This window comes from Homo sapiens, chromosome 15 (genome assembly GCF_000001405.40).
Source record: "Homo sapiens chromosome 15, GRCh38.p14 Primary Assembly".
Lineage (NCBI taxonomy): Eukaryota > Metazoa > Chordata > Mammalia > Primates > Hominidae > Homo > Homo sapiens.
Genome location: NC_000015.10, coordinates 82,054,776 through 82,077,448, shown reverse-complemented (window position 1 = coordinate 82,077,448; position 22,673 = coordinate 82,054,776). Strand labels below are relative to the sequence as shown.

The 22,673-nt window shown below is 46.2% G+C and overlaps 2 annotated features.

Moving 5' to 3' along the window:
• Positions 18,757-19,257: an enhancer, noted in NCBI's record as "H3K4me1 hESC enhancer chr15:82350533-82351033 (GRCh37/hg19 assembly coordinates)". NCBI's record gives its function as "activates a minimal SCP1, AML or CMV promoter by ChIP-STARR-seq in naive H9 embryonic stem cells {active_cell/tissue: H9 hESC(naive)}" and the evidence as "EXISTENCE:reporter gene assay evidence [ECO:0000049][PMID:30033119]".
• Positions 19,258-19,758: an enhancer, noted in NCBI's record as "H3K4me1 hESC enhancer chr15:82350032-82350532 (GRCh37/hg19 assembly coordinates)". NCBI's record gives its function as "activates a minimal SCP1, AML or CMV promoter by ChIP-STARR-seq in naive H9 embryonic stem cells {active_cell/tissue: H9 hESC(naive)}" and the evidence as "EXISTENCE:reporter gene assay evidence [ECO:0000049][PMID:30033119]".

Sequence of the window (22,673 nt, the reverse complement as noted above, 5' to 3'; positions counted from 1 at the left end):
TGTAACATAACTGAAAATCACAGATTTTGGAGTCGGACGTACCTGGTTTCTCATCCTGGCTGCCCCAATTGCTAACTGCAATGTTGGGCAAATTTCTTTATTCCTTCAAGCTCTGTGTTCCAATCTCTAAAATAGGAATCCTAATTATATATACTTCAAGGGGTTCCTGGGAAGAGTAAATGAGAAAATACTGGCAAAGTGCCTTATCATAGTGCCTGATTGCCTGATACATAGTAAGAGCTCAATAAAAGTAGCTTTTATTATTCTTGCAGGTGATCAAAGAAATGCAGAGTCAAACAATGTTGGCAAATGATTTCACACCTACTGAATCGGCAACAACTGTGATCCCCAGTGCCTGACAGAGTGTGCTGAAACCGGTACATTCATAAACTGTAAACCAGTACAGCTATTTGGAAAAGCAACGTAGCAATATAGACACAGCAAGAGACTGCAGAAATGGTCACAACCTTTCGCCCAGACCTCCTCTTAATGATTTGCAGGGTTCCAGGCAAGGGTATAAATGGAGCCTCACATACCATATGTATAAGTAGTTTAAAGTTAGAAATCAGGTTACAAACTGTTAAATGAAAATATGTTCTAGCCTCCTGCCTTGGCAAATATACTGTCACCACCACCTGGAAGGGCTCAAGTTAAAAATTCTCAGATGCCTCTGCATCCTGTGTTGGAACATGACGGCATGGGGAGAGCCAGTTGCTAGCCCCCAGACCCACTGTCTTTCCAATTCCTAAGTCTGTCCAGCACTGAGGGGGCCTCATGTGAATGTGAGTGGACAGCCTAGCCCATGCGTCCAAACTCTGTTCACTACCCCCTGCCTGTGGCCACTCCTCAGATCCGGGTGTGTCTACTGGTGGTGTGATTGGATCTCAGGAGGAGAGACTCAGGGACCAGGGCTGGGCAGGCCCTGGAGATGAGCATGGGGCCAGTGGGCAGGGACTTCTGGGAGTCCTAGGCACCTGGAGAATGGTCTAAAAGGGAGGACGTGGATTTGCAATGGGCATGTTCCCTTGGCCTGCAGACTCCTCACCAGGTGGGAGGGACGCAGCCCAAGGAGGGCCAGGGGGACACCCCCTGCCTGATCTCACTGCAGTACTCCTTAGAGTCCATCCAAAGGAAAGAAATAGTTCAGCAGAATAAAAAGGCTACGGGCACAAAGATAGTATCACTGTGTTGCATTTGACACTAAAAAAACCCAATCTAATGTTCAACAGTAGGGAAATGTTAAGACAACAATGATAAAGCTATTCAGAGAAGTAGTATGCTACCACCAACACTGGCACATGTGACAACCATGTCATAACATGGGATAATGTTTATGTGTAGATATAATAGTAAATGAACTCTGGCAACTGTGCAAACATCTGTGCGCCCTAGGTGAGATGCGGAAGTCAACCTGCAGACATGAGAACAGCTGCCTCAAAGAGGGTTGAACTCTTTCAGGCAGCTGAAAGATTTTCCTCCCAAAATTGTCTCTTTCCTGTGGCTGGGGAGAAGCAGGGACTTTTCAGGAACTAATGGGTAAGAGCTGGCTGGTTAGACTGGAGTTTTTTGTGCAACTCTACTCAGGAGTTGGAGATAAGAACCTGCTACCTGCTGCATGGAAGCCAGAAAAGCACTTTAGCTAATCACACTCCCTCTCTGCGTGGGCTGAAGATATCCTTGAGTCCTCCCAGCCCTGAGCCCTTCTCCAGGGGCCAGCACACCCAGAAACCACGCGTGCAGTGTTTGCTCTGGATGCCCAGGATAGTCTCTGCTGCGCGTGTGAAGCTCTGCCATGGGCTGGGTATGGAACGGGCCATGTCACACTGAGTCCTCGCAACAACCTGGTGAGATGGGAGCCTCAGCATGGCTGACTTGGACACTGAGATGCTGGTCCAGCACCACGCAGTTGGCAAGCAGAGAAGCCAGCCTTTGAAACTCTGTGCTTCCATTTGGGCACGTACACTGGGAAATCAAAAGGCAGTGTTCCCTTTCTCCCCACAAACTGCTTCTAGTGTCCCATGGGGCCAGAGGAACTCAATCAAAACAATATTCCATAGATGTGGGATAGTGGTAGCACAAATAAATTAACAATTGCACTTCTGGGCACTCGACTGTCCCCACGGTTCTAAAAATGAAAAGACTCTGGTATTTAATTTATATTTTATAAGAGTGAAAAAGGCCAGGCACAGTAGCTCACACCTTTAATCCCATCATTTTGGAAGGCCAAGGTGGGAGGATTGCTTGAACTCAAGAGTTCAAGACCAGCCTGGGCAATATGGCAAAACTCTACAAAAAAATTAGCCGGGTGTGGTGGTGCATGCCTATAGTTCCAGCTACTCAGAGACTGAGGTGGGAGGATCACTTGAGCCTGGGAGGTCGAGACTGCAGTGCGCCAAGATAGCACCACTGTACTTCAGCCTGGGAAACAGTGAGATTCTGTCTCAAAAAAAAAAAAAAAAAAAAAAAAATTTGATAATTGCCTTTGGTAAGGAAGAGCTGATTTTAGCATGGAACAGAGGGTGGCAAACAACAGCCTTCAAGCCAAATCTATTCCACTGCTTGTTTTTATATGTCCCATGATCTAAATAATGGGTTTTACATTTTTAAATGGTTGGTGGGGGGAAATGTGAAACTTACATGAAATTCCAGTCTCCAGATCTATAAATAAAGTTTTATTGGAACACAGCCACATTCAGTTGTGCATATGTATTGTCTACGGCAGCTTCTGCACTATACCAGCAGAGTTGAGGAGTTGTAACAGGGAGATCATATGGCCTGAAAAGCTGAAAAATTTTACTATCTGGTCTTTTACAGAAAGACTTTGCTGACCCCTGAAATGGAAGAAGACTACAGGCCTAGTTATTTAGTGATAATTGAACCCAGCTTTCATTGTTTGAGTAGCTTCTGCATGTCGATTGTTAAGCTTTACTTACCTAGATTACTTCAAATCCTACAAAGTACATATTATCGATCCCCTGAGCAAAGCTAGGATATTAGCTGAAGCCTTAAATTCAAATTCTTACTTTTTAAATTTAATTTAATTTAATTAAAATTTTTTTTTTAGAGACAGGGTCTCGAGCTCTGTTGCCCAGGCTGGAGTCAGTGGCATGATCATAGCTCACTGCAGCCTCAAATTCCTGGGCTCATGTGATCCTCCTGCCTTGGCCTCCCGAAGCACTGGGATTACAGTGCCTGGTCTCAAATTCTTACTTCCATACCATGGCAGAGGAGCAGAGCAAGACCTCTTCAGAAACATGAGCTCTAACCAAGGCAGGGAAAATATATTTAGAGGTCCTGAATACTGAAAACATTACAGTGTACCTTCCCCAGCCACCCCTCTGTATAATCCAAAATATTAAACATTGTTGAACTCAAAACTGAGTGAAAGCAAGTCCAACAGAGTTCTAATTCCCTCCATGATAACTACATGTTTTTCTAAAATAGTATCCGACTATTTTATGAGAATTTTTTGGTGTCCCTAGGTATATACTTGCTTCATTTGTTGGGTGATTAAACCCCAAAACTGACCAAAATCTGTTGGCCTTGCTAAGTCTGAGCTCAGGGCACAGAAGAAGAGTCTCACATTGTGACAGCCACCTGGCGTGGCGATAGAGTCCTGTTCTTTCCACCAAGAGAGAAGCCGTCCCTAGAGAAGTCTCTCATTTAAGAAAGCAGAACATATCTACTCAAAAAGCCATGGGGCCACCTGAATCAAATGCCTGTCAGACCTTCTCCCTCACCTCAGGTCTGTGTCTCCCTAAGCCCATGTCATGATCAGAGATGTTCCTTAAAGCTGGGCTCCCCAGCCCCCAGGCCATGCACCAGTACAGGTCTGTGGCCTGTTACGAACAGGAGGTGAGTGGCAGGTAAGCAAGCATTACTGATGGTAATGGCAGGTCATCTGGAGTGTCTGCTGCCATCATACTGGCTGCAGCAGGAATGCGCAAGTGGGGCTGTGTGCTCCATGAAGCCAGCGGGAACCAGGGACAAGTGGGAGCTCCACCTCTTCCGAGTTGGGGCTGGAGCTCCCTGGGTGCCACTTCAGCTGCCCAAATGGCAGCTGCAGACCCAGGCCTCTTGCAGATGGGAGCCCCGCCCTCCCAGGCATAGCAGGCAGACAAGTTCCTGGGCAGAAGGAGGTGGGTCCTGGTGAGGCCCCACCTTCAGGCCAGGGAGGGTCTGAAGTCTGTGGGCCCAGCTGCCAGTCTGGTGAACCAGAGTGGGGACTTGTGCTGCCTTTTTTGGGCTCATCCATGGCCACTCATTGGACCAATCAGTACATACTTCCTCCCCTCTGAGGCCCATAAAAGCCCTGGGCTCAGCCAGAGCAGAGGAAAGGACGGAGAGACACTGGGATAGCCAGCTGCAGAGAGAAGATAACCTCTCATCAGGGAACTACAGAGGACAGGACAACCAGCCTGCAGAGAGGAGCTACCCTCTCTGCTAGGAGCTAAACACTTGTCAGGACACCCTAGCTACAGAGGAGCTGCCCACTGCAAGTCTTCTTTGAGCTGTTCTATTGCTCAGTAAAGCTCCTCTTCATCTTGCTCACCCTCCACTTGTCCACATACCTTATTCTTCCATGTTGCAGGACAAGAACTCGGGACCCACTGAATGGTGAGGCTAAAAGAGCTGCTGTAACACAAACAGGGCTGAAACATGCCCCTTGCTTGCCACATTGTGGGTGAAGAGAAGGAGAGAAGAGCTGCAGCCCTTCAGGGATCCCAGACCTGGGAGCTCCCTGAGCCAGAGCCGTGACTCCCTCTTTGGGGTTCTGTGGTTCCTGGCATCTGCAAGCTTCTGGGTGCCACTGCATTCCCCAGTGCCAGCCAGGGAAGTGGCTTGCAGTGCACCTGGTCCAGCCACAACCTTGCAGAGAGCGCTGCTGGCACCTGTAGCTGCCTGCCCCACAGCAGCCACCAGTATGTCTGACTGAGCAGTGGCCGGACCCCATGCTCGCTCACACACCCCTCACTGTTCCACACCCGACTCACCCTTGGCAGGCGTGGGACCCAGGCCAGCAGTGTGAACTGAGTACAGCCTGCCAGGCCCAGCAGGCCTGAGCAAAACTTGGGTAAAAACATCACTGGCCACAGAGGTTTCTGGCTAGGAAAACAACACCCCAAGGATCCTGTAACATTCATCGGAACGCCACCTCCCGTTAGATCAGCGGTGGCATGAGATTGTCATAGGAGCACAAGCCCTATTGTGAACTGTGCGTCTAAGGGATCTAGGTTGTGTGTTCCTTATAAGAATCTAAGATCGCTGAGATTGATGAGATCACTTGAGCCCAGGAGTTTGAGACCAGCCTTGGTAACACGGTGAAACCCCATCTTTACCACAAAAACAAAAATTAGCTGGATGTGGTGGCGTGTGCCTGCAGTCCCAGCTACAGGGACTGAGGTGGGAGGATCACTTGAGCCCAGGGAGGTTGAGGCTGCAGTGAGCTGAGATTGCACCACTGCACTCCAGCCTGGGTGGCAGAGTAAGACCTTATCTCAAAAAACAAAACCAAAATGGTTTATTGTAAAAAAAATGAGTATGGTCAATATTTTTTTCTCCTCAGTTCTACTTTAATTTCAAGCACTCAAGTGAGGATCAAGCATCTGATGAGAATGGGAGAGAAAGGCAGAGAGAGCTGTGTCTGTTCAGGAAACCGCATCCTTTCACAATTAGGGAAACAACAATTTTTTTTTGAGGCAGGGTCTTGCTCTGTTGCCCAGGGTGAAGGGCAGTGGCACAAATCATAGCTCACTGCAGCCTCGACCTCCCGGGTTCAAGCAATCCCCTTACCTCAGTCTCTCAAGTAGCTGGGACTACACACATGCACCATCACGTCTGGCTAATTTATTTTCATTTTTAATTTTTTAGTAGAAACAGGGTCTCTCCAGAAAAACTACAGATGGATCAGACAATTAAATACTGAACCCTGTGGAACAAATAGAAGAGAAAGTGAAGGCTTGTCTATCCCTAGACACACTCTTTCTGGAACATCCGTCTTCCTCACACTGTCCCCTCTTGACTTCCATGATACCCTAGGCTGCTGGTTTTTCTCCTACCTCTCTGGCCAGTCTTTCTCAGTCTTCTTGGCCGGCTCCCCCTGTTTCTGAGCCCCAATCCCTATATGTTGGAGTCCTTTTGGGTCTCAATTTTTTTTTACTCCTTCTCTTTTAGGGTTTTCTTCCTATGAGATCTTTCAGTCTCTAGCCTTTAATGCCACTGAGTGTTGCCATTTCTACTCCCATGTTCATAATTCCAGCCCTGATGTCTGGCCTGACACTTAGAGACTGTCCACGGAGGGATACAGGAACAAAGGAAGTGACAGGAGTGACAAAGGAAAAGATGCGTTTGTGTGTTTCTGCACGTTTCTGTGTCTGTTTGTCTGTGTCTCTGTAGGTTCTGCATGTCCAAAAAAGAATACAGACGAAGAGGCCAACAACAAGGGTGGACATATTGCAGCAAACATGAAAAACAAAGAATTGCTACCTTATACATAAAATGTTCATAATATTAGAAAACAAACACATTAAGGCTCCAAGAATAAAACAGGCAAGAAGCAGGGTCAGAAAGTTCTCAGAAGAGAAGATACATTTAGTATACAAGCATAGAAAACGTCCAGTCTTAGAACTTATATCAATGCAAATGAAAGCAAGTAGATACATAGTTATATAAGAAGAACAAAGGTTGAGAGGTTGTGAATGCTGTTGTTGTTGAAGCGAGTGAAACAGGTGCTCTCCCATAGCCCGCAAACTCGTATAGTCCTGTTGGAAAGCATTTTGCTGCATTTGACCCAGTAATTATACTTGTGGCATAAATCCTAAAGAAATCATTCCATAAGCTAAAAAGCAAACTTTTAAGAAGCATCTATACAGAAGTAGATTAAGTAAGCCTTGATAAATCACTAGATTTTGGAATATCTCAGATTTTCCTGACAATGGGAATCACCCAAAGTACTTACCATGTATGCAAGTTCCTCTCCCTGGGAAATTCTGATTCTGTACCTCTGGGATGGTGCCCAGGAATCTATATTTTAAAAAGGCACTTTAGGCTATTCTTATCTTCAGACACATTTGGAAAATACTGATAGAGGAAATATAATGAAATGCCATCATGAGGTCATTAAAGCTAATGTGTGCAAAGATCGTATAATTCTTTTTTTTTTTTTTTTTTTTTTCAGACAAAGTCTCACTGTTGTCCCCCAGGCTGGAGTGCAATGGCACGATCTCTGCTCACTGCAACTTCCACCTTCCGGGTTCAAGCAATTTTCCTGCCTCAGCCTTCCCAGTAGCTGGGATTACAGGTGCCCGCTGCCATGCCAGGCTACTTTTTGTATTTTAAGTAGAGACAGGGTTTCACCATGTTGGCCAGGCTGGTGTCGAACTCCTGACCTCAGGTGATCCGCCCGCCTTGGCCTCCCAAAGTGCTGGGATTACAGGCGTGAGCAACCATGCCTGGCTGCAAAGATCATATAATTCTATGGAAAAATACTTAATGACATTTTGAGTTCCTAGAATGTCAAATGAAATAGCAGAATATAAAAGTCTGTGAAGTATTGGTCTATTCAACAAATAAATATTTACTGAGCACCTACTAAGGGCCAGCCAGGTCGTGGGGAGACAGAAGAGAACAAAACAGCTGCCATTTATCCTCATGGAGCTTCGAGTCTAATGGGAAGATAAAGAGTAAAGTTAAGAAAACACACACACACACACACACACACACACACACAAAATTCCATACTTACCTAACTGCATGGCCATGATCTCTTTACAAACACATTGTCTCCTTCCATGGGCGGAGAGCTGCTGCAGAACCAACTGCTTTTGGTGGGATTCTAGCTCCATTACTTAGCAAGTGCTTGCAACTCTGTAGCAGCTTAGGAAAGAACTGTGGTTGGAAGGAAAGAGTGTGGTGCATGGATTTGGTAAAAGAGTAAAAAGAGTGGCTGGGCACGGTGGCTCATGCCTGTAATCCCAGCACTTTGGGAGGCCGAGGCGGGCAGATCACGAGGTCAGCAGTTTGAGACCAGCCTAACCAACATGGTGAAACCCCGTCTCTTCTAAAAATACAAAAATTAGCCAGGCATGGTGGCACACGCCTGTAGTCCCAGCTACTTGGGAGGCTGAGGCGGGAGAATTGCTTGAACCTGGGAGGTGAAGGTTGCAGTGAGCAGAGATTGCACCACTGCATTCCAGCCTGGGCGACAGAGTGAGACTCCATCTAGAAAAAATAAAAATAATAAAAGAAAAAAGTAAGAAGAGTAGGAGCAGAAAGAAAGTGAGTTAATAAATGACCAGGGCTGTTTCTGAATTCTGTATGGTGGGGCAGAAAAGATTTTCTTTAAGTAGACTTCTGGGTACCTGTAGACAGACGTGCTGAAAACCCACTGGCAGAACAGCAGCCCTGGTCTGGAGGGACCATGTTGGTCTCCAGAAGCTAATACCACAGGTCAGAGTTCAGATCACCCACCCCAAATCTGGGATCTGGGATCAGTATGAGTCTAGGACTGGGGCAAAAGCCCGGGGTGGGGATAGAGGGCTGTGTGAATTGACCTGCCATTCAGAAACAGCCTCAAGTTTAGGCTTGGAGTTATCTCCAAATGAGATTATGAATACTGTCACAGAGAGCCACCCGTAAGATCGAAAAAAAAAAAAATTAACCAGGACTTTTACACTTGTGTGTTATGACTGAGCTGTATTGACTCTGATGCAGTCTGAATATTTTAAAAATAAATCATACGCTTATCTGGGAACCAAAAAAATATGTTGCATTATAGTTGGTTGAAGTAAATATTTAATATCCTGGATATGATAGTTTTTATAATTCTGGGTTGGCATTTCTTCCTTGTATCAAAAACTATACTAAGGCCAGTTGCAGTGGCTTGTGCCTGTAATCCCAGCACTTTGGGAGCCTGAGGTGGGCGGATCACCTAAGGTCAGGAGTTCAAGACAAGCCTGGCCAACATGGTGAAACCCCGACTCCACTAAAAGTACAAAATTAGCCAGGCATGGTCGCGTATACCTGTAATCCCAGCTACACGGGAGGCTGAAGCAGGAGAATCGCTTGAACCTGGGAGGCGGAGGTTGCAGTGAGCGGAGATCATGTCATTGCACTCCAGCCTGGGCAAAAAGAGCGAAACTCCGTCTCAAAAAACAAACAAGTAACTATATTAGAATCCTCAAACGCTGGAAGTGGTTTAAGCCTGCCCTGACTCTGAGAGGCTATTCCAGGGTAAGAATGCTGCCCAGTACTCTCAAACCCTGTAGAAAAGGGGCTGGTGCTTATTTCCTTAGAGGCATTTCTGTGTAGTTTATCTTTGGTGCTAATGCGGTCCTTTTCAACTTACCGTGTTAAACAGGACATTAGGGTTCTGTTAAGAAGAGATGCACTTTGGGAGGCCGAGGCGGGCGGATCACGGGGTCAGGAGATTGAGACCATGGTGAAACCCCGTCTCTACTAAAAAAAAATACAAAAAAATTGGTCGGGCATGGTGGCGGGTGCCTGTAGTCCCAGCTACTCCGGAGGCTGAGACAGGAGAATGGCGTGAACCCAGGAGGCGGAGCTTGCAGTGAGCCGATATCACGCCACTGCACTCCAGCCTGGGCAACAGAGCAAAAAAAAAAAAAAAAAAAAAAAAAAAGATGTCGCTGAGTGAGGGAGAACCTCTCCTGGGATATGTCCTACCAGGAAGCATATCTGCAGGATCAGATTACACAGATTACAGGAGGTAACAGAGCTGGGGACTTAGAAACAGCAGCTGTCTAGTTTCCTATTTATTTACTCATTCTGAGCACTGTCCATTGGAATTTTTTTAGGAAGGCAGGTTTGGTGTGGGCTAGGTAGTTGAGATCCTGAGACCTGCTGGTCTTGATCTGTAGGGAGCTGACTGGATGACCTTGGCCCCAGGCCTGCCATAGATGTAACAGGGAAGATGCACTTGGCCATCTCCAAGGGCCACTGCAGCCCAGAACATTCTACGTTAATAAGACTCAAGAGTGTTTGCCCAATGGCAAAAACAAAAGTCACACCTTCCAACTCAGACCATCCAAACGGTTTATGAACTTCCAAGTTTTATTTGTTGAATCCCACAGGTCTATCATCATTGTAAACTCTTATTCCCCCCAGTAATATATCTGTAATAATCCTGAAGCATGAATATCTTGAAAATAGCTGCAGATGCCTATATTTTCCCAGCAGAGCCGATAAAAGAGACTTTTGTTTACATATTCATCATTCAGAGTGCTTTGAGAAATTAGGAAGTAAATCGAGTTGCAATTCTGCAAGTGACTTGGCCCTTAGGACTGTCTTACAGTGTGTGGTGTGTACCTTGTGCCTATTCAGGACCATTCCTATCAAAATGAATTTGTAATACAAACATGTCTTCAGCCAATGGGACCACAGAATCTCACCTTGTCATAAGAGATGCAATCAGAAGTATTGTGCAAACACCTTTCCCTGACAGAATAAGTTCCTGGCAACCCAGTAGCCCCCTGCATAATCAAACAGTAAGCCAGATCCTAAATGTTCTATATAAATGTAGAATATGGAAACTGTAGTCAAACAAAAATAGCAATAGTGGGGTAGAAACCAGGACTCTGTACTTCTGTATTTCAGTCCTTGTGTCCTTCAGTCCTTCTCAGGCCACGTTTAGTTTGTTTTAACAACCTCAGCCTAGAACTGCCCTTAATTCTGGCAACAAGGGCCCTCCTCTGGCCCCATGCTTTCAAGGATCTGCTCTCCTGCAGGTGTGGCTCCTTTCTTAGGGGGAAATGCCGGGCTAAGGAATGTATCCCTCAAGGCCTGGGCCTCCCTATTTTAGAACATTCTCTGGATACCCAGGATTCCCCGCTCAAATGTTCTGGGCCTATTTCTAGGACCTGCCCAGGTTCTTTGCTTGGTCCATCCTCCTGAGGGCAGACTATACTGAAGCCTTAGGCTAAAGAAGGGGCAGCTTTTTTGTGGGGAGACGGCCAGCAGAACTTGGACCTGTGGGCCGAGATGTGCACCCAGGTGCATGTGAGGACTTTCTCAGTGCAAGATGGAGCTGGAGGGAGTGGGATGGGAAAGGAGGTGGTATCATGTGCTGGCAGCTGGCTCTCCCCATGCCAACGTGTTCCGGGAAAAAATTCCAAGGAGCCTGAGAACTCTTAACTTGGATCTAGTCTTCTAGGTCATAAATGAAGGTGTGCATATATATCAAGGTAGAAGGATATGTTATCTTTAAAAGTTTTGTTAGTTTCAGCCAGGCATGGTGGCTCACGCCTGTAATTCCAGCACTTCGGGAGGCCAAGGTGGGCAGATTACCTGAGGTCAGGAGTTCGAGACCAGCCTGGCCAAAATGGTAAAACCCCATCTCTACTAAAAAAAAATACAAAATAATTAGCTGGGTGTGGTGACGGGCACCTGTAATTCCAGCTACTTGGGAGGCTGAGGCAGGAGAATCTCTTGAGCCCGGGAGGCAGAGGTTGCAGTGAGCTGAGATCACGTCACTGCACTCCAGCCTGGGTGATAGAGCAAGACTCCATTTCAAAAAAAAAAAAAAAGGTTTGTTAGTTTGATTGGTAATGTTTAAATATTTAGACATGGAGTAGGTGGGTCTCCCACTTGTGATCTTGTTCTGAGTGAAAATGTTAGGGGCTGAGCTGCCTTAAGCAAATCTCTTCACCTCTGAGGCTTGGAGCTCCTCTGTACCAGGAAGCCTTGGGCTCCTTGAGGGCTACTGGCCGGTCCAGCTCTTTCTTTCTTTGAATGTTGGCTGATGAGGCTGAAACTGATGAAGAAAAATGTAGGCAACTTCTTTCCATGGCTGCTTTAGGTGGGATTCTTTTCAGTGCAAGGGACAACAATCTAACTCAAATCACCTTAAGCAAAAGAGAGATTCTTTCTGTTCACTTGCTTCAGACATGTTCATATTTAGTTACTCAAACACCATGTTGTCCATAATTTATTCCTATTTCTTCTTCTGTTTTCGTTTTTTGAGATGGAGTCTTGCTCTGTCACCCAGGCTGGAGTGCAGTGGCAGGATCTCGGCTCAGAGCAACCTCTGCCTCCAGGGTTCAAGCAATTCTCCTGCCTCAGCCTCCTCCTGAGTAGCTGGGACTACAGGCATGCACCACCAAGCCCAGCTAATTTTTGTATCTTCAGTAGAGATAGGGTTTCACCATGTTGGCTAGGCTGGTCTTGAACTCCTAACCTCAAGGGATCCACCCACCTCAGCCTCCCAAAGTGCTGTGATTACAGGCGTGAGCCACCATGCCCGGCCCCTATTTCTTGACTCAGCTTTTTTTCTCTATTGGCTTCATTTTGGGGCAAGCCAAGATGGCCACAAGCACCTCCAAGCTTGAATTTGGCAACTTCAGCAAAAGAGAACATTCCTTTCCTAATAGGTTCAGCAAAAATCCTAACTAAGCCTCTCATTGGCCCTGGCTGGGTTACATGCTCATCCTCTAAACAAATCACTGTGACTCAACTGCCAGGAAGCTGGGGGAGTGGAAGACGGCGGACTCGCCTGAACCACAGGGCAGTGTGGGGCAAAGGGTATTTCCAACAGGAAAAGAGGGGTTCTGATGCTGGAAGAAGGATGCTATGTAGGCAAAATCAACAGATGTTTCACCAGCAATGCTTACCACATGAACTATGAGGACAAAGGAAACAGAAACATACAAATATTTATGAAAGACAGCGATGAAATGGTGCGGTGGAAAATTGTGCTAGAGAAGCCAATCCTGCCCCCTCAACGCAGCCACACTGAGCGAGCTGTGGGTCAGGGGTACCCACCCTACCCTCTCCTTGGCTCCAAAGCAGATGTTCACTACAGTCAACTTAGACATTGTGACTCAGAGACTGCAAGTTCTGTCAGACACTTGGACTGAGGATCTACATGGAGATAAGCAGAGAAAGGTGGTCTGTGAGAGAATAAAGCGGAAATGCAAAGAACACCAGAGACCAGGCAGCCCCAGATAGACCAAGAGCTATGACTCCTTCCCTCCAGCCAGTGGCTCCAGTGCCTTGCAAGGCTCAGCTGTATTTCCTGCCCTTGGTAGAGACTCCTGGGTCCCTCCAACATGTTTTCGCGCGCGTGTGTGTGTGTGTGTGTGTGTGTGTGTGTTACAGCTGGATTTAACAGTTTGCTGTTCCACAAACCACAAATAAAACAAAACACAATAAAAACATAAAGGTGGGGAAATGCTGTTTTTTCTTCTAACATGTAAGAATTGAGTCAGGTGTTTCTCAAGACTGTTGTGATTTTTATCTTAGTTTTTCACAAACATCCAGAGAAGGGATAGGGAAGCGTGCACGTGGAACGACAAGGCGGCTGAGTTCAAGGTCTGGAGCAAGAAGCTCTGCATCCCTGCAGCTCTGATGGGGACGGAGACCCTCTGGGCAGAGATATGCAGGGAAATGCTCATTACTCTGTACCCCCTACCCCAACACCGCTTTTGCCAAGAGGTGGACTGTGCTAGCACCAATGTGGAGAGTTTTGGACATCCACGCCATATCTGTAGCAGCTGCGGCTATCTCAATGCATAAGCTACATTCTCAAAGAATTTCACGTCAAACCAGTGTTTATAAACGGAGCCCGATTTTCAGTGCTTGGAGAGAACCTACACGCTTCCGTTAAAATCTCTCTTCTAGAAAAGTGAAACACAACCTGTTAATCAGCATTTATATAAGGCAATATTTTAAAAATCAGAAAAAAGCTTTTTTTAAAAAAGGCAAAGTTGACAAGACAAATAAGCTGGATGAATCAAATTTCTGCTTTGTTCTGCTTTCACTAATTGCTGACAGAGCCGAGTTGCGGCCTGATTATAAAGCTGTGCTTCAGCCACCTTAGCAAATCTGTTGCTGGAAGACAAGGAGCGAGCACTTACTTTTTGAGAGTAAACTGTATTTTATTTTTTATTATACTTTAAGTTTTAGGGTACATGTGCACAACGTGCAGGTTAGTTACATATGTATACGTGTGCCATTTTAAAAGCACCGGGGGACTGGTCTATTTAAAAGAACAATGGGGTGAGTGGCGCTCTAATGACGGACTCCAGCTTGGGGGCTTTGACTATCCTAGTTCTTCTTGGGCCCCTTTTGGCTGAGCGTGAAGCAAATAAACAAACACCCCGATGGAGAGGTCCTTAACCACGGTGTGCAGCAGCATCACCTGGGGAGCTGTAGCCCAGTACACACGCCCAGCCCCACCCACCAGCCTTACTGAGAGGGGAAGGGATCCTGCCTGTGTGAGCTGGAAAAGCTCTCCAGGTGATTCCGCTTCAAGCTTCCGGTTAAGCACGAAGGCTAATGAGCCTTATTTAAAAGCTCAGGTTTTTACTCAGCAAAATCTGTTGCTTTTAAAATGGACCGCCTTTAGAAAAACCAGCAATGTTGCATGCCAGGATGGGACTCTCTCCCCGGAAATGAAATAAGCAACCCCTGAGAAACGGCGCTGGGACAATAGGGCAGCAGTTTCTCCTCACGTCCTAGGAGGGAAAGTCGACTGCAGGGAGTTATATGACTTAATATGCAGCTAACCAGCCTTTTAATTAACTTGACATGCCAGATAACAAAGCTATTACTAAGTGAGAGTTTCTTAATTGAAAGGGGGAAGAGAGATTTGTTTTATATTTTCAAAATAATCTATAATGAGCGTTACTAATTTGACAATCAGAATTTGTGTGTGTGTGAAAAATAGCTATTTTGAGCTATGAAAAGGGAGGATGAGCAGACCTGCACACGGCAGCTTAGCTTGCTGTGGTTTTGCCTTAGCTGGTAGACGGTGCCTGGTAGTGCATGACTGAAAGATGGTGTGGTTGATTCTATTAGTGTGCAATTGTTCGCAGGCATTTTACCTAGAAATCACTTGTGCCATCGTGGCCATAGTATTTTTCCAGCCTCATCTCTTACTGAACTGTACCTCTAGCTCTGAGTCCAGTCACAATGAACTAATTTGTAGTCTCTCAGTCATCCATGCTTTGCACATGCAGTTTCCTCTCTATGGAATATGAAATACCTCCCCTTCCCTCCTCTTCCTTCCCTTCAGCTTCCAGACTCCTGCCAGCAAGCTTATAAGTCACCTTTCAAATCTCAGTTCAAAAGCCTCCTCTGAGACCATCTCTCCACTTGCAAGACTCGGGGGCTCCATCTATCTCCTGGGATCCCTCGACCAGGCACTCTAGACTGTCATTATAGCAACTCATTGAGTGTATTACGATGGTGTGCTTTTGTGCCTGTCTCCCCACCATTCATATAGTCAACACGCACTTGGTAGATGTCATCATTTGATCACTGCAGCAATCCTACAGGGTACCTTTTACTGTGACTCCCATTTCCCAGTGGAAGAAACTGAGGCTCAAACATAGTAGCCTGCCCAGCTCTCACTACAAGTAGATGGTTTACGTGTGATACAATCCAGGTTCATCTTGCTTCTGAGTTTGTGCTCTTAACTGCCATGTGAGCAAACTTCAATCAGAAAGTGTTTTTTCTTTTTTCTTTTCTTTTTTTTTTTTTTTTTTTGTGACAGAGTTGCTCTGTTGCCCAGGCTGGAGTGCAATGGCACAATCTCTGCTCACTGCACCTCCACCTCCCAGGTTCAAACGATTCTCCTGCCTCAGCCTCCCGAGTAGCTGGGACTACAGGCGCCCACCACCACACCCAGCTAATTTTTGTATTTTTAGTAGAGGTGGGGTTTCACCATGTTGGCCAGGCTGGTCTCGAACTCTTGACCTCAAATGATCCACCTTGGCCTCCCAAAGTGCTGGAATTACAGGCGTGAGCCACCGCACCCTGCCTGAGAGAGACTGTCTTTTCGAATTTGTATCTTCAATGCCCAGCCTACAGGAGATGCTCAGTGGATAATGATGGATAATTATTTAGCAGTTATCCATTGCCAAAAGAATGGATAACATCACTGCTACCGGCTTTGGCAGACCTCACTCCAGGTAAATCATTCCCTGGGGGCATTAATTACCTGCTGGTGTTCCCTGGTTAAAACACCTGTGACACCAGCCTACACATACGCACAGGGCTCTGAGGTGATTTTTTTTTTAATGACAATAAAGACATAAAAAGATATAAGGTAAACCTACGTGGGCTGCTTATAGCACTGTCAGTTATGTGTGTGTTTTCATTTACTTCAAAAACTGAGGATATTAAAATAAATATGACTTTATTCCATTTAGTTGAGATTGTCATTTTTTTTTAATTTGGAAGAGAATTTAAGAAATGATGACTTTATTAACAACATTGGCGTAGGACAGTAGCAGACTGGGTTAAAATACTGTATCAATGTTGAATTTACTAAAGTTCATCACTGTAGTACAGTTTTGGAAGAGAATATCTCCATTCTCAGAAAATGCACACTGAAGAATTTAGGGGTAAAGGGCTATAATGCACACAACTGACTCGGATGTCTCAGAAAATAAGTGTGTGTGCATGTGTGTGGTTTGTATGTACGTCTGTGTATGAGGAAGTGAAAGGGACTAATGTTAACAATAGATGAATCTGTGTGAAAAATAAATGCATATTCTGGCTGGGCACAGTAGCTCACACCTGTAATCCCAGCACTTTGGGAGGTTGAGGCAGGCGGATCACTTGAGGTCAGGCGTTTGGGACCAGCCTGGCCAACACAGTGAAACCCTGTCTCTACTAAAAAAAAAAAAAAAAGGCTGGGTGTGGTGACATGCGCCTGTAGTCCCAGCTACTTGGGAGGCTGAGGCAGGAGAATCACTTGAACCCAGGAAGTGGAGGTTGCAGTGAGCCGAGGTCGCTCCACTGCACTCCAGCCTGGGCAACAGAGAAAGACTCCACCTCAAAAACAAAACGAACAAAGAATGGATGCGTATTCTTCATATTATTCTTATTTTTGCAAATTTTCTGCAAGTTTGAAATTATGTCCAAACGACCTTGGAAGAAATGAACATCCCTGAGAGGAAGGTGTAATGAGAGTGTTTCTTTGAAATACAGTGAGCAAGAGCTGGCAGGGCCGGTCAGTGTCTGACAGTGGCATGAGGTTTCTTTCAGGCTGACTTGCAATGGCTGGTTTTCTTTACCTATTGATGTGTCTTGAATATGTTTACAGTTCAGCTGGCCCAGTTCTCTGAGAGGCAATTGGGTTTCCTTGCAGATGTGCCGCGGGAAGGACAGTGGTGCCTGTGCTTGGAGAAGCCCCTGGCCACGTGCTAGGACAGAGGGACATATGGTGGCACGACTCCAGCCACAGATGCAACTCCCTCAGGAACAGTGGGGCCTGCAGTTGGAAGGGGCCCCCTCTGGCTCACAGTGCTGTGTGGACAGTAGCATCTGTGTGACTGCAAACTCGCCCACTGTGAGTGGGAACAGTCGAGGCTATCTGTGGCCTTGCATCTGCTGGTCCCATTCACCAGGGCAACACTGTGCATGGCCAATTCTAGACCTCCCGGACGCAGTGCATGCAACTCAGCGTTAGAATGTCAATTTCGAAGTACTAGAATGTCATTTTGCTGTTACAGTCACCCCACAAGCATTTTCTGAGCATCTTCTACTTGGGATTGCATCCTTTTTGCTAGGGACTGTGTCATGTGCGTACACACAGCATCTTATTTTTAGCTTTCAGGCTGACTTGATTGAACATGGTGCAGTTAATGTGCCCCCCATTTTCCAAAAGTAGAAAACTGTGACACAGAGGTTAAGTGGTTTCTGAGGTAACATAGAAAAAATATGTAGCAGAGATTTCCTAAACAAACTTGCAGCCTGGCAGGAGGGGTAAGAAGATCCACGAGGAACATTGGATCAGGTTGGAGGAAAGAGGTGCCAAGAGAGACCCAAGATCTTGGCTGGGAAGTGAAAAGGAGTGTGGCCACTTTTGATTCTGGGGTAGGAGGCTTTATTGGGGAGGTGGCATTTGCGTGGAGACTAACAGGATGATAAGAATTTTGAAAGGAAAATCATAAAGAGCTTTCCAATGGAGTCGAGAAAACATGGTAAAAAAACAAAATAGGAGTTGAGATCATAACAACTGTCATTTATTGAGTTTTTCTATATGCTAGGAACTGTGAGAGGCGCTTTAGATAAATCAACTCATTGAAACAGGAGTTTTCTTAAGTGAGCCCTATTAGCATCCTCATTTTAGGGTAAATGGAGGCATCCATGGAAGGTTACATGCATCTAGTGTGGTAACAAAGCCCACAAGCTTAGAAAGTGCTTCATGATAATAGTGAAATGATGGTAATAATAGGAAAAAGGAGGGGGAGGAGGAGGGAGAGGGGAAGAGGAAGAGGAAGAGGAGTGGGGAGGAGGAGAGGAAAAGGAGAAGGAGAGGAGGGGAGGGGGAGGAGGAAGAAGCAGCAGGAGGAAGAGTGGAAGGAGAAGGGGAAGAAGAAGGAGGGGCAAGGGGGGAGGAGGATGAGAAGAAGGGAGAGGAGAAGGAGGGGGAGGAGAAGGGGGAAGGGGGAGAAAACAAGAGGGAGGAGGGGGAGGAGGAGAAGGAGGGAGGTAGGAGGAGGAGTGGGGGACAAGGAGGGAAAGGAGAAGGGGAAGAGGGAGAGGATGAGGAGGGGGAGGTGGAGGAATGAGGAGGGAGAGGAAGAGAGAGGAGAGGAAGGAGAAGGGGGAAGGGAGAGTAGAGAAAGGAAGAGGAGGGAGGAGAGGGAAGAGGAGGGAGGAGAGGGAAGAGGAGGAAACGAGAAGAGGGGAGAAGAGGAGGGAGGAGTTGGGGAGGAGGAAGGGGAGAAGGGAGAGGAGAGGGAGGAGGAGGAATGAAAATAGGCAGGGGGAGGAGGAGAAGAGGGAGGATGGGAGAAGAGGTAGGAGGGGGAGGAGAGGGTGGAGTGGGGTTAGGGGTTAGTCCTGGAGGCATCAGAGGCTTCTCTAGGGAGCGTGGTTTCTATCCTACTCTACCTTAGCCTTGACCAAGCAGGCAGATAGCATTAGTATTCACTCCTTGCTTGGGAGCACTTGAAAAGTTTATAAAAAGGCGTAGGCTGTTTGGATAAAAGATGCTCTGGAGACAAGACAGTGCATCTTCCTCAGTCACTTCCTCACTCCTTTCTCGGCTCTGATTCTGGTGTTTGATGTCTTCCCACAACTCGGCAAAGAAAGAAGAAAATCCCTCTACTCACTGTGCAGTTTGTAGGTTATTTAAAGGAAATGCATTCAGGTGGTTCCTTACCCGGCAGGGTGCAGGGATGGAGTGGGATACAACCATACAACCAACCCCTCAGAGGGCAAGCGCAGCTCATTCACAGTGGCCAGGATCCCTAGGGCAGCCTCGGGCGTCTGTCCCGCAGCAGAGGACACTCTCATGAGGCGCTGGAAACTCAGCTCAGGGCGTGCCAGGTCCCACGGGCGCCTTCCAGCCTGGGACACCTGTGCCAAACCTGAACAGGGAAGGTGCAGAAAAGCGTGTGTGTGCGCATGCACGTGTGTGTGCTAAAATATAAATGAACGATTAAGGGTTTCCTCTGCTGGATATTCTCTGCAGTGGGGAGAAGAGGTGGGAGAAAGTAGCTGTTTTTGCCGCTTGGGGAATGTTTGCCCAACTGGTAAAGGTAGAATTGTTCTTTTCCAAAGGAAAGTTGTGTGGGAGTTGCTTCCTTACCGAAAACAAGGAAAAGCATTAGTGAAAAGATGTAAGATCAACAGGCAATCAAAAATGCACACTGCCAGTGTTAAGGGCACAGGTGAATTTTCCTTCTAGGATTCTCAATACAAACCTATTTTGAAATAAAATGCCTCTAGGTCTTCCCTGCCTAAACCCACGTGGGGAGCACTAATAGCTGCGTACAAACTTCATTAAACTGGCCACAGCTGAAAGGAGCTGGTGCCAACCCACTGCTTTTTGCTGACCGAAGTATCCGGCTGGGTTTTTGCCCTCATTCTGAAGTGACTGCTGCCCATCCCCCACACCTTGAGCATTGTTTTACTAGACATCTTCTAGTGTAGGGTAACTGGAAGAAAAGTAATGGAATACCAAGTGCCATTCATCATATCCCTGCCTCTTCTATTTTGTGGTGCAGGGATGCTGAGGGGAAAATGAGTCTCCTGTAAGTGCTTGGAGATCCTCCCCCACTCCACCTCCTGCATTTCCATAAGCATTTGGCATCAGAGTCTTCTGGTAAACCCCCCAGCTTCTACAATTGGACAATTGGCTTTGTATCACGGCAGGAATTCGTGCCTCTGAAGTTTCTAGGGAAGCTCTACAGAAGCAATAAAGTGGTAGAGTTGTTTGAATAAAATTAGCTTCTATGCTTGTAGGAAGCATACCCAATTCCAGTTAGCTGTATGAAATGCAACCATTTTGGAGGTTTGTGAAAATATGCAAGGCTCCCGGCTTCAGGAGAAAAACAGATTTACATTCCTCCCTGTCTCAGCAGGGAGTCTTCAATCAAAGGCAACCAACAAATCAAACATGATTATCTGTCAGCACATTGGCCCTGGTTTGTAATTATACATTTATTTGTGTGTGATCAATGCTAGTCTCCTCACTGGATTCTAAACTCCCTGAGAGCTTTTCTGTCTTAATTACCCTGAACTCCAGTGCCCACACAGTACCTGGCACATAGCTCATGCTGTAAATATCTGTGGAAAGAAGGAAGAAATGGAGAAAAGGAAGGGAGGAAGGAACAGAAGGGAGAAAGGAAAACGGAAAAAAAGAAATGTTCCAGGTGGAAGGATTTTTTTTTTTTTTTACAATCATCCTGCCCAACAGTATATAGGTTTGCCTGTGATCTTTTTCTCATACATAAGATGGAGATAATAGTCCTTGTCTCAATAGTTATTTTACGTTATTTTCTAACTCAAATAGTTAAAAGTCATTTGTAGGCCCCTGCTCTGGGCCCATGCTTTGTAGGATCTCACTGTCGCTGTCCTCAGGCTGTGCCCCTTCCTAGAGTATGAAGTCCCGGTGGGACTTTAAGCCTATGCTCCCCTTCCCCTTCCTCCGCATCTGTGGGGACTTCTCCCCGACAGTTCACGCAGGTCTCCACCACAAGTGTGCATGCCCTAGGCCCAAGGGGTGTCCAAGGAGTGACTATTTGTAGGGGATGAGCCATGGATGGAACTGTGGTGTCTGCACACATGTGCCTAAGACCCTCTCCCATTGTGGGATGGAGCCTGCAGTTCAGTAGGGGGAATGAAGGGAGGTGTGAATCATGGCTCTTGACCCAGGCCCGCCTCTCTCTGTGTGGCCAGGGTTCAGGGCAGAACCTCAGGAGGCTGGAAGTTGTAGCTTCTAACCTGGCCTTTCAGGTCATGATGAAGGTCTATTTGTCAGGGTAAGAGGTTCAAACCTCCTGCAATAGTCCTATTCAGCAGCTGATAGCTTGGTTTATAACTTTTGAATATTTAGATGTATTCCACGTGGGCAAATAGGAACACACACACATATATATGTATATTTGTGCATTTATATGTGTGGGCATGTGTGTGCACGTGTGTGTACATATATAATTCTATAGTTCACCTGTTAGTGTACCTTGATGATGAAAAGTGAGGGAGGACCCTGACTTTGGACAGCATGGATCTGCCTGCCACTTACCAGCTAAACTGTTTCCTTAGGGCAAAAATAGAGACAACAATAGTACCTATTTAGTTGGATTATTGACATTATTAAAAGAGAGCAACTAACATACTCCTAGAATATAAGTGCTCCATGCATATTATAAACTAACAATTGTTTCCTGCTCCTTTCACTTCATGCATGAAGACATATTCACTCACTCATAAATACTTGCATTATATCTATCTATCTATCTATCTATCTATCTATCTATCTATCTATCATCTATCAACAAAGTCTTGTTCTGTTGCCCAGGCTAGAGTGCAGTGGTGTGATCCTAGCTCACTGTAGCCTCGAACTCCTGTGCTCAAGCAATTCTCCCACTTCAGCCTCCTGAGTAGCTGGGACTACAGATGTGCACCACCATGCCTGGCTAATTTTTGCATTTATTTGTAGAGATGAGCTCTCACTATGTCGCCCAGGCTGGTCTCGAACTCCTGGGCTCAAGTGATCCTTCTGCCTCGGCCTCCCAAAGTGCTGGGATTAGGAGTGTGAGCCACCATACTCGGCCATTATGTATATTTCTTATTCAATCTGAGAACTAACTATAATATTATTCATTTACTATTTTAGTTCAAGTTGATTTCCTTTTAAAACATACACACCAAGTTTATGTGTATTGATACCAGTGGTTTCCCAGGTGTTTTTTTGTTGTTGTTTTGTTTTTTCAGATTCTCATTCTGTTGCTGGAGTGCAGTGGCGCTATCTTGGCTCACTGCAACCTCTGCCTCCCGGGTTCAAGCGATTCTCCTGCCTCAGCCTCCCGAGTAGCTGGGACTACAGACACGTGCCACCACGCCCAGCTAATTTTTGTATCTGTAGTAGAGATGGGGTTTCACCATGTTGGCCAGGATGGTCTCGATCTCTTGACCTCATGATCCACCCGCCTTGGCCTCCCAAAGTGCTGGGATTACAGACGTGAGCCACCATGCCTGGCCTTATATAGGTATTTCACAAAATGATTTCCTCTATTAGGACCATATTCAAAAAGCCCTTCCCCTACTCCACAATTACAGAAGCAGTCACATACATTCCATTTGATTCTTCTCTATGATTTCATTTTTGAAACTTAATTCCTTAACCCACCTGGAATTTATTGCGGTGTTGTTGTGAGGTTAAGAAAAAAAAAAATCAATCTAATATAATGTTT